The sequence below is a fragment of the Homo sapiens genome, chromosome 5, assembly GCF_000001405.40.
Source record: "Homo sapiens chromosome 5, GRCh38.p14 Primary Assembly".
NCBI classification, from domain to species: Eukaryota; Metazoa; Chordata; class Mammalia; order Primates; family Hominidae; genus Homo; species Homo sapiens.
The window spans coordinates 52,849,355-52,862,233 of NC_000005.10; the positions used below are offsets into that span (position 1 = coordinate 52,849,355).

At 36.4% G+C, this 12,879-nt stretch overlaps 1 protein-coding gene across 1 annotated transcript in view; it reads left to right on the forward strand.

Moving 5' to 3' along the window:
* Positions 1-12,879, forward strand: part of ITGA1 (integrin subunit alpha 1) — a 171,294-nt gene that overhangs the window by 61,439 nt on the left and 96,976 nt on the right. The window contains exons 2-3 of the mRNA NM_181501.2: positions 11-131; positions 12,093-12,205. Of these exons, the coding sequence (NP_852478.1) occupies positions 11-131; positions 12,093-12,205 (234 nt within the window). The remainder of the gene's footprint in view (positions 1-10; positions 132-12,092; positions 12,206-12,879) is intronic.

Consider the following 12,879-nt stretch of genomic DNA (forward strand, 5'->3'; position numbering starts at 1 on the left):
TCTCCTAAAGTTGTTCTACGCTGCTGCGTATCATTCAATGTTGATGTGAAAAATTCAATGACTTTCAGCGGCCCGGTGGAAGACATGTTTGGATATACTGTTCAACAATATGAAAATGAAGAAGGAAAATGGTAAGCCAGTGGGTTTTGTTGTTGTTATTTACTTATTTCACAAGGTAATGAGAAATATTATTTGACTACAGTTTCTTTTATGAATGAAACTTTAACAGAATGAATTATTTATGGTAGAAAATGCAGTCTAGTCATTTGGCAATGGAAGCTAACTTAAAGTAAAAAAAAAAAAATTCCTTGGCAATATTAGAGGAAGCGATTAGTGATTTCTGTTGATGCCTGGATTGACCTCAAGGAAGGTCTGTATCCAAAAAAGCTATTGTTCCATAATTATGTTTTTTGGCAAGAATTCTTTAATTGTTCTCATTTCAGAGTAGCTTAAATGCACTTGTTTGAAATTCAGTAGGAAGGATTCGGAGGCAAATGAGATGGTGCTCTGAAAGGGTTTAACACACTTCCGTGAGTTTGGTCTTTACTGATCTACTGAGCTTGGTCTAATGTTTATAATGAACTTTATTGGGTTTCTGGTATCTACCTTCAAACCCTTTAATATTGGTTAAGTTCATTGTAGATAGGATTTTTTTTTTTTTTTTCTGAGATGGAGTCTTGCTCTGTCACCCAGGCTGGAGTACAGTGGAGCGATCTCAGCTCACTGCAACCTCCGCCTCCTGGGTTCAAGTGATTCTCCTGCCTCAGCCTCCTAGTAGCTGGGATTACAGGCGTGTACCACCATGCCCGGCTAATTTTTGTATTTCTAGTAGAGACACGGTTTCACCATGTTGGTCAGGCTGGTCTTGAATTTTTGACCTCGTGATCCACCCACCTCAGCCTCCGAAAGTGCTGGGATTACAGGCGTGAGCCATAGCACCTGGCCGTAGATATGATTTTTAAAGTATATTTAACTTGTTGAAAATTATATAAACTGAATATTAGAGTTCTTTTGCTTAATATTTAATAGAATTTTTAGTAAATGCAATTTTTGTTTAATTGGACATTCTAGGAAAGAAGAGCAGTAGCTAAACTTTAGTTTAATAACTTAAACTAAACAAGCCTACATTTTTAGTAGCTGTAATAATAAGCAAAAAGAGATTTATATCTACTTGGATAATAAAGATCTATGAATCACTATAATTATTTCATTAATAAAAATATGTGGATTTTCTGCATTTTGTTTTATCTTTTAGACTTGGTTAATTTGATAATAATGCCCTAAAGACTATAAAAAGTAATGAGTTCTCACATTTTTTAAGTACATTATTTTATGCTAGGTATAAACTAGAATTTGTTGAGATACTTCACTCTTTTATTCTCCTTACAAATATCTCAGATGACAAACCCAATGCTACATGCTAAATTTTTAAGTTCCCTTTCCCTCCCTCCTATACTCTCCACCCATCCCATTCCCCAATTTTTAAGGTTAAATGAGTACAGCCCTCCCTCTAGACACCAGCTTTATTCTTTTAGGAATTATACCTTCAATTCAGGTACCTCTGGGAGAATAATGGTGAGTAGACCAACTGGTCAGACTTTGTGCGTAAGCTATAATAAACAGAAATGCAGTACATGTTATTCTTAAAAAGCTTAACTTTACATAAACACATATAAAAGTTAATTTTCACTAATTACTAATAGTTACACAAATTTTAAAGAGGAGTATAGCAAATAGCAAGCTTTAAGACTTAAACCACCTACTTAAAATGAAGTATCTCTTTTAAGGATGGTTAAATATTGCTAAAATATTTTATGAAATTCTCATTTTCAATTTCTGATATCAGAAAAACCTGTATGTTTTCTTTCTTATCCAGTCCTGTCTCTGTGATTTTAGAAAAATCTGATGTCAGAAGTCCTTAATTATATGAATGAACCTTAGTAGAGTGAAAAGGGGTTCATATTTCTTTTTAGAAGCCTTAGTGCCCCCATTTGATCTCTTTAGTCACTGTTTCTCATGATAAGAACCTATCCTATTGTGAGATTTCCACCCTCTAAATTCTACAGTCCCTCCTTTCAAGGCACCAGAAGTCAAAGCAATGGAAAATTGAAAAATCAGGCCTGAATGAAGCCTTGATGTCATGAGGAATGTCCTTCCTAAGGTTATTCTATCTTTGTAGAAAGTTAAGGTATGGATGAGGAAAAAGAAAGACAGCCAACACTGGTTAAGGAACAAAAGAGTGCATAGATTGGATAGTAAGAATAAGGTTGCAAGAACGATGTTGCTAATGGTCTGTCTGAATGAATCTACACTGGACTGAACCATCACAATTCTACATACATTTGTGAGGTAATGTTAATAAGAGATCGGGGACTATGCCTTATATCTTGGTTTACCCATGAAGCTGAGTTGAATTGTCTCTGAAAATATTTGTTGGTGGGTTAGGTTTTTTTTATTTAGCCATAGCATAAATGTGGGTCAGTCAATCAACATGTATTTATGTAATACATTTTATGTGTCTGGCATTATGCTAAATTCCATGGGAAATATTTATACATAAAACAAATATAAAAGCTTTAACCTAGTCAAGGACATACATGAAATGTTTAGGAATAGAGAATAGTGCCAACAACCAGTGCAGAATAGACTATAAATTCAATGGGAATTCAAAACAGGAGGAGATGATTCTTGGTTCTTGACCTAAGTCTTGAAAGATGACTTAACTTTCAATATGAGAAGAAAAATGTCACTCCAAGCTTGGGAAGCCACAAGAGCAAGGGCCCAGACTTGAGAATAAGTGAGGTGAGTGTGTTGGTAAGTAAACAGGTCTCATATTGGGATGAAAAAAGAGAAAAGGATGATGGCAGATCTTGAAAGACAAACACAGGAGCTTGGACCTAAGATGAGGACGTTGAGAAGCCATCATAAGTTGTCATTTTATGAAACTTAATTTGGGAATTTACATATAAATTGGATTGGAGAATGGAGTTCCTGAAAACTAGGAAATATATAGACTCAAGAACTATAATCTGGTACTTAAGGGATGAGCCTTCAGGCTGTATTAGGGGCAACTGGAAGAAAAAAGAAAGGTGTATTCAAGACAAATCAAGATGAATCAGTAAATCTTGGTGGAAGTTTGGAAATGGTCAATGAAGGTGTAGGAGAGGTCAGATAGATTCCAAAATTTCTGTACTGGCTCATTGGGAAATGGGTTGTCATTGACAGAGAAAGGGAAATTCACTTATCAGGAAGTGGGTAAGTCTATTTTTAAATAGCTCCAGTTCAAGGTGATTTCTAGGTAGTTGGAAACCTCAGACTGGAATGCAGGTAAGAGGGAGAAGTTAATGTGTTAGTGGAAATGCCTAGAAAACAAAGACTGATTTTGCAGCCCACTTGCAACCCTGGGCACTACCCCACATCTAGCATGAGGCCTTATACATAATATGCACTCAATCATTATTTGTTGGCTGAACAACTAAATCTAGTTTAACACTCTGTTATCATCAATTAAAAAAAAGCTGCATAAAAAATAAAGTTAAATGTGACTCTCCTAGGGAAATGCAACTACTTAGGACCAGAGCTGTAATAGATTTCATCTCTACACTCAGTCTTGTGCCTTTTTCTTCATTAGAACTATATTTAAAAGTAAATGTTGTTAAAAACTATCTTTGTGGTAGGTACCAGACTTTACATATTAATATGTGTGTAAGTTTGTAAGCATTTGAATGTAGATGATATCAGAAACCTAAATCTCACGTTGACATTTATTATTTACAATGATTTTATGGAAAAGTTGTGAAAAATCAGAGCAACCAAAAAGATGTGGGCAATTGAATTTAAAAGTAAGCAAATTACAAATACCTAAATTTCCAAACTTTTAAGGATAGCATGGTAGCAGCATATTGTTCTAAAGAAATCTGGGATCTGGTAGTGCAAAATAACCTGTAGAAACATGTTTGGATGTTCTGTAAGTGTCTATAAAAACAGATAGATTGCAGACTTACTTCGAGAAATGTGCTACAGAATAATTGACATATTTGGAGGAACATGGATTTTGTTATTTAATTATCTCTAGAGGTAGGCACCTTCATAAGTCATATTTACTGCTCATGCTTTCGAATTTCATAAACTCATATTTAAAAAAATCATCCTGACCCATCTTACGTCGTGACTATAGTACGCCTATAGAAGGAGCACTTGTTAGCCCATGACAAGTACAGTCTGTGTATTTGAAAAACATAGCTTTAATTCTTTCGAAAGAAATATAAGTTGACAGAAAAGGTAGCCTTATGTCCTCTTTACTGTTCAGAAGTTTGCTCTGAAGTGTAATTTATATCTTTTGCTCAGAAGCCACATGCTTTCTCAGTAGCAGAACACATCATACATCTGATTAAGATCAGCTGTTGTTCATTATGTTTAGCATGAGCTGGAGCATCCAAGTAATTGCAATGTGGTTCAGAAGAATTCAGAAAGAATATAATTGCCTTCATAATTTTGCTTTGAGGAAAAGAAATTCAAACATGCTCAGCACAGCACAAGCCTTCCAGATTTCCAGATTTAGTGGTAAACATCAGCATGGCCAGGTCTCAGCCGAACGGGAAAATGTGAGATGTCTGTTTGGGGCTTTCCACTCTAATCTGTTGCTGCTTTGCTTCATTCCTTCCAGCATGTGTGCCTACCCTTTTAACTGCCCTTCAAGCAACCTTTCTTGGGGGTTTCAGTGACTTCACTGGACCTGTCTGATCTCAAAGTAGATTTTCAGGATCCACCCTTGCCAACCTTCAAGCCAATGTTTATCAATTATCTTGACTTCATGCCTTTTCTCTAGAGGATCCTGCTTTATGCCAGGTCAGGGTACCAATGGGCTCATGTGATTGATGCCCTATTTCCAATAAGTCTGTGTTGTAAAAGAAAAAAGAATCCCTGCTAATGTAGAGCTATTCCAGACTGGGGAGGAGAGACATTTTAAGGGTTTACACAATTTTCTGTAACAGATTTTAATATGCTTATTTTACATTGCTTCTAACGCCTTTTGAAGTTGAAATTTCCTCATTGCCAAACTTGTCATTTCTTTGGCTCCCCTCATTTCCACCCCTCCACCTTTTATGAGCAAATCACTGCAGTTAATGGGTCACTGTGTAAGTTTCATTCTCTAAGATGAAAAAATGCTTATTCCATTTATTTAAAAAGAAATTGGCGAGCAGAATTTGCTTGGCACTCTGAGAGTGACTTTGGCTTGAACTATGTATTAGACATCAAGGCAGAGTTAGTTGAAAAGGATGTTAATGAAATAATGTAAATATAAGACACTCTTTTCCAAGAAACTATCTTTTGCAGGGAAGAAAACATAAATATGAAACAGAGACATCAGACACCACCTACTCTTCAAATAAATATAATAATGGGCATAATAACAAGATAACTATTGTGAATAGCAAATATTTCTGCTTACTAAATATTATTATAATTGTAGCTTATTCATGGAGAAAAGTGTTTCTCTCACTTTGATGATCCTTGAGTTGATCAGATGTTTCTCCAGAAATGAGTAACGATATCCAGAACATGTTTTGATCTTCTCAGTCTGCATACAGGTCATTACAAAAATGCCATATAAAAAGCAAGATCTAATAGGAATAAAACGTAATAAGTTAAAACTAACTTGCATTAAATTTTAAAATAATGATTCTCACAGTTTATAAAACAATGTGCCTGGGCCTTCACCTTGACCCTGTGGGTTTGGGCGGATATCATTGTTATCATCTGTATTTTCTAGACAGGAAACTGAGACAGAGAATGAATGTCCAAAGGTTTAATATAGCAAGTATGTCACAGGGTCAGGATATGGAACACCAGCCTTCTGACTTTTTAGCCAATTCTCCCCCTTTAGCAACAAGGATTCTCTAGCTGTTTGACCTGGAGAAATGCCTCTGGTGTCACTCAAAGGCATGTATAGCATCCCACTTAAGCTGAATATATATTCTCTAAAATGGAAAAAAAAAGATTTTACAATCCAGACCTCTTGGCTGGTCACATAAGTATAAATTCTCAGGTCTGCCTTATTCAGATTTTTAAGTACTTGACACAGTCGTTAATTCATTCATTCAATAGATATTTATTGAATGCCTATTTTGTGCTTGGTACTAGTATGAGCACTAAGGATGTGTTTGTGAACAAAATAGAAAAACCAATCCCTACTATTGTGGAGCTTATATTCTACTGGGGAATAGAGAACAAAAATTAAATAATGAAGTTAATAAACAGGTAGGTTACATCAAATGCCAGAATAGGATCAGTGTTGTGAGAAAAAACTGAGCAAGAGAGTGGATTGAGAATGCTGGAGATTCCTGAAATTCTGTAAACCCTATGCTAATACTTTTCTAGGATCTTGTTATTTTGATGCAGTTGGAGAAAAGTGAGGCTTCCTTAGGATTCAAGTGGTAAGATACACGTACTTTCAAGCTTGTTATTAAAAGTTTCATGTTTGTTTTCAAAGAAAACAGATACTAGGAAAATACAGAAAATTAGCAGTCCTATGATCTGCTAACCTGGTCTTTACTATTGGTCCCAACTCCCAAACTCCCTGTCTCAATCCTGGGCTCCTACACTCTACCACTTTCTAAGTTCTCACTCCGCAATCTTCACTTATCTCAGAATATGCAATAGGCCGTGGTTGAGATTGCTGTATCAGGTCAGTTTCCAATTATCACCATATCCTAAGTGCTTTCTCTTGCCCTAGAGATCAAACATAAACTCCAGACCTTTTCCTCCAGAGCCAAATGCTTGCCAAATCTCAAGCTCTCTGTTCCTGTCTATAAGCAAGCTTTATTCTGAGTTCTAGCCACCCATACTTTCTCATTATCTTCCCTTTTCCATCTTCATTCTCCTGTCTCCACACTTTTCCCTGGGCTATCCATATCTCCCTTTCCTTCTGCCTTACAATTCACAATAGCTCTCCTATTAGCATGCTGTACAAGACTCACTTTTCATCAGTTATCCTAGATTTTCCCCCACTTGATATTACATGTTTTCCAACTAGTGAGTCAGTTCTTCTCTACAAACTTATATTTGTTCTATTCAGATGATGGAATCTTAGAACTGGAAAGGACTTTGAGGGCCTAACTCCCATCCACTATAAAAACACCTTCCGAAACATCCCTGGCCAGCTGCAACCCACCTCATCTTGACCAGAGGAGCTGCCTGACAGACCTACGTATGCCTTATCAGTTTAAATCTTCATCGCTCTCTACAAGCCCACCACCCTTCTACCTCCTCTGTAAATCTCACTAGACAACTGCAGCTATTATTTTCCAAAGAAGAAAAAGAGACAGAGAGAGAGAGAGAGAGAGAGAGAGAGAGAGAAGCCACTAGGTCAAAATTTAATCCTCACTTCCTGTTTCAGTTAACTATTGCTGCATAATAAGTCATTCCAATACTTAGTCACTTAAAGCAGCAATGGTCTATAAATTCTCAAGATTTTTGAGGATTGAATAGGTATTCCCCTATTGCCTGGGCTCATCATCTGGTCCCTCAACTGGGGCTGGAGTGTCCAAGCTGGCTTTCCTCACACGAGTGGAAGTTCATGCTGTCAGCTAAAGCACCAATTCTGTTCCACGTGGCCTCTTATCCTCTGTTAAGCAACACTGGGCTTCTTCACATCCTGATGTTCTCAGCTTTCAAAAACAGGTAAAATGGAATCTGCAAAGGCCTTTTAAGGCCTAGCCTTAGAAGTCATAGTATCATTTGTGCTGCATTCTATTCATCAAAACAAATCCTAGATTCAATGGGTGGAAAAACAGATTCTACCTCATGAAATAATAAAAGTCAAAGTCGTGTTGCAAAAGTGTACACAATTCCAAACCATCGACCACCCTTGCAAACTGCTCAATACTGGGCTGCTCAGCGTGCTGCCTAGGGAATGGTCGCTCTTCCTCATTTTTAAGACAAACCTCTCCTTCTGGATCCACCCTGTCTACCTGCTCAGAGATTCTACTCCCTCTCCTGTGAAATCAGGATTTCTCTTGTTACTGTTTCTTTCTTGCCATCATTTAGCCATATGCAGATTGCCTCCATGATAAATTTGGACACATCTCAAGCCCTTAATGGTTTGTCATTGCCCTGAAAAAAAAAAGCCACATTTATTAACACTGCCCATCTCCCTCATTTTTAGCCAAGTTACTTGAAATGAAATCTGCCACAAACATGTACCTCTCATTCTTGCCTCCTATTCTTTATATTGTTTCCTTCTTTGGTTTCTGTGACACTGCTGTTTTCTGATTCTTGCTCCCTTTCTGATTACCCTTGCCTAGTTTTCTTCCTTTGCTCATTGAAACCTTAAGTGTTATTTCACCTTCAGATGTCAACATTTAGTGCTCTTCTCACTATATTTCGAGGTGGTAATATTTACTTTTAGGGCCTCAACCATGCTCATATCATGCTCATACATGTTCCACATGGTTTCTGAGATGTTCCCCAGCAAGACTGAGCCCACTTGCCTACAGAAGTAACTCATTATCAGTGCATCCTTTCTTGGCCTTTCTTCCTTCCCACTCTTCTTTTCCCCATCTCTATACTTATGCATACTTGGAATTGCCTCCAAAAAACTTACCTGAACCAAAGTTTTTGTCTTGGATCTACTTTTGGAGAAACCCGAACTAAGACAGCTTATATCCTAAATATTTATAGAGTTAGTCCTTCCATCCTCTGTACTTCCTGAATCCAAATCCTCATCTGGATTACTTTAGGAATCCATATCTTGTCATTTGACTCTAATTTTGTTCCTCTTCAATTTACTTATGACACTTCAAGCAAATAAGCTTTGTAAATCAAAAAGGTGATCATGTTACACCCCTCTTTAATAGCTTCATTGGTTCCCAACTTCCCCCTACATAGAATAAAGCCAAAGTTCTTAAAGCTGACTATGAGAACATTCATGATCTGGACTCTTTTTACCTCTCTAGCCTCAACTTCTACTGCAGTTATACTGAGCTACTTGGCATTTATCAAAGGAGTGGTATTCTTACTTCTAAGACTTTGCTGAAGTTGCATCAAGTTCAGACCTATTCAATATTGCAATAGTACATGTATAGTTGTGCTTCTCTCTCTAAGTTATAAGCAAACTAAAAATTGTGTTTTATTCACTTTTGTATCATTTTATATCCTCAGGACCTGGCATAAATGCCCAGCATGTAAAATATTGTTAATAAACATTAATTACTCCAGCCTCAAATTAAATACTTTCTAAAATCGTAGGCTCATTTTTTTCTCTAAACTGTTTTTAACTGTAAAACCAATTTATTCCATTACGTATTTTACAACTGAAAATATTAGGAAAAAATAATCGTAACCTCATTAATATAATTTGTTATATTCTTGATGTATTCCTGATTAATCTTTCAACATCGATGTTAGTTGTTTATTCATCTGAAATAAATACCTAATAATAATAAGAACTAACATTTAGATAGCACATACTATAAGCCAAATACTGTTCTAAGCATTTTATATACATTAACTTATTTATTTTTTTGATGATCCTCTGAAATGGATCTCCATTTTATAGATAAAAAAACTAAATCACAGATGGAGTAATTGACTTGTCCTAACCATATAGCTAAGTGAATGGTAAAGCCATAATTTGAACTCATATAGGCTGGCACCAAAGTTCATGCTATATTTCATGGAGAAGATTAAATTATTTAATACACAGAAAGCACTTAGAACAGGGCCTAGCACATGGTATAAATTCAATAAAGCCTAGCTGCCATTATCAGTGGTAGTATAATGAACATAGTAATTTGGTGTCTTTCATGTTAAATTAGGGCACAGATTTTCACTAAATTAGATAAATTTTCACTTTGAGTTCGATCATAAATAATTTTTCATCCTACCATACAATGAATGTACAATATGCTATAGAATGATCCTGAAATAATTAGTTTTTATTTACCATATTTCTTTTACTCTTTCATAATTATATATAACACTATGAGCATTATCTTTGTGCATTAAGCTTTTCCCTCTTACTTTAGGTCATTTTATTTAGGATAGATTCCCAGAAGTAAAAATTATGTATTAAAGGGTTTGAGCATTTTTGTAGTTCTTTATACAAATCAGAAATTGCTTTCCAAAGGCATTATATTAAAACCATGTTTTAGAGTCTCAATAGCTTAATATTTACAATTGTTTTATAAAATTTATTTTCATTAATACTAGCATGCCTATAGGGCCTACACAAAATAAATCCCATTTCTTTTCAATATGACAGACTTTCAAATATTTAAATTTTCAAAATGTGTGCCTAATCAATTTGTACTTCAATGCAACTTCTCAGTTCTCCTGCAGACATTCTTTCTCCATGCCGAACATCCCCAACTTTCCCAGCATCTTTTGTCTGACAAATTTACCAGACTCCTAACTATCTGAGTCATAGTCTCCTAAATACATTCCATTGTGCATATGTCCCTCTTAATTTAGATATTTCAGACATGGCCTGACCAGCACAGAACACAGGGGGACTATCACTGCTTGACCAGGGCATCTATTTCCAGCACTGCAGACTAAAGTCACATTAGCATTTTTGGCACTAAAATACGCTGTTGCTCATGTTTATGTGCTATCATCTAAATCCCCCATGCCTTTTTCACATGAACTCCCATTAAGTGAGGGCTCCCACATCCTGCACTGATATAAATAATAGTATGCAGCTGAGCGAAGTTATTTATGTAGGTTCTAAGTAAACTTTAGTTTATTTATGTTTATTGTTCCAGAATGTTGAGATTCATCTGAATTCCTAAGTATGTATATTGATATACTTGATAAGTATTTTTTTCTTGCTCTGTCTTATGGTGCTGATTGATAACTATATTTATACTTTTTATATCTTGACTAAAGTCATTAATAAAGTTGTCATCTGGCTGGGCGTGGTGGCTCATGCCTGTAATCCCAGCACTTTGGGAGGCCAAGGTGGGCGGATCACGTGGTCAAGAGACCGAGACTATCCTGGCCAACATGGTGAAACCCTGTCTTTACTAAAAATACAAAAATTAGTCGGGCGTGGTGGCGTGCACCTGTAGTCCCAGCTACTTGGGAGGCTGAGGCAGGAGAATCGCTTGGACCCAGGAGGCGGAGGTTGCAGTGGGCCAAGGTCATGCCACTGCACTCCAGTCTGGCAACAGAGCGAGACTCCGTCTCAAAAAATAAAAATAAAAAAATAAAATAAAAAAATAAAGTTGTAATCTAACACAATCCCAAGTACAAAATCTCATACTATGTAATTAAGTCCTTTGATTGCTAGCAGCCAGAGTTTTTGGATATGGCTACTCAGCCAGCAATAAATCAGCAACTGTGGATCCACCCAAGTATCTTACTATTTACTTTAGTTCATCCGATTCCTGAAGATATCATGGGAGACTTAAATGACTTGTTGGAACTAAAATCAGTTGTGATTATATGTTTTTTCCATTAATTACTGTTAGAATGGTTTTATAATTCTGTCTAAAAGGAAAGTAAGTGATTTTAACCTGGATCTCATAAACTATCCTTATTTTCTAAGCACTTATAAACTAGCACATGCTAATATTAAATCTTATGATGTTCCAATGTTTATATTTCCTGACTTCTCTATAAAATTAGCAGTTCATCATAGGAAAAAGTCACTTATACTTCCACATGTGTTTTATAAGTTAATACAGTAGCAGACTTAGCCAATAATTATTGATTATTTCAGTACCCCAATAAAAAATATGATAAAGTAATATAAACAAAATAATAAAGCAAAATCTCTGAAATATCTATCCTACATATACACACACATATACATGTATATACACACATATATATGTATATACACACATGTATATGCTATATATGTATATTGTATATGTATGTGTGTGTGTGTATATATACTTTTTAATCCACATCAATATGCAAGAGGTAGGCTCTCTGCTTAGTTTACATAACATTAAATTACTAATAGCATGATTATTATCTGATTATGAGTGTTATTGTCAATTATCTTAAAATCAGTCATAAAACAACTCATATAAACTGTTTCTCAATGTTCAAAAATGTTTACTGATTTATTTAACTTCCAGGGTGCTTATTGGTTCTCCGTTAGTTGGCCAACCCAAAAACAGAACTGGAGATGTCTATAAGTGTCCAGTTGGGAGAGGTGAATCATTACCTTGTGTAAAGTTGGATCTACCAGGTATGTAAAATTAAAAAAATCTGGTTTTAGGCCAGGTGCGGTGAGTCACGCCTGTAATCCCCACACTTTAAGAGGTCAAGACAGGCATATCGTTTGAGCCCAGGAGTTTGAGACCAGCCTGGGCAACCTGACGAAACCTCATCTCTACAAAATATACAAAAATAGCTGGATGGGGTGGTGCACTACTGTAGTCCCAGCTACTCAAGAGGATGAAGTGTGAGGATCGCTTGAGCTCAGGAGTTTGAGACTGCAGTGAATGGTAATTGCGCCACTGCACTCCAGCCTGGGTGACAGAGTGAGACCCTGTCTCAAAAAAAAAAAAAAAAAAAATCAGGTCTTAAATTATGCCCAGTATTCTCACTGAAAACAGATTTTGGGCTGGGCGCAGTGTCTCACACCTGTAATCCCAGCACTTTGGGAGGCCGAGGCAGGCGGATCACCTGAGGTCGGGAGTTCGAGACCAGCCTGACCAACATGGAGAAACCCTGCCTCTACTAAAAATACAAAATTAAGCTGGGCATAGTGGTACATGCCTGTAATCCCAGCTACTTAGGAGGCTGAGGCAGGAGACCTGCTTGAACCTGGGAGGCAGAGGTTGTGTTAAGGCAACATCACGCCATTGCACTCCAGCCTGAGGAACAAGAGCAAAACTCCATCTCAAAAAAAAAAAAAAA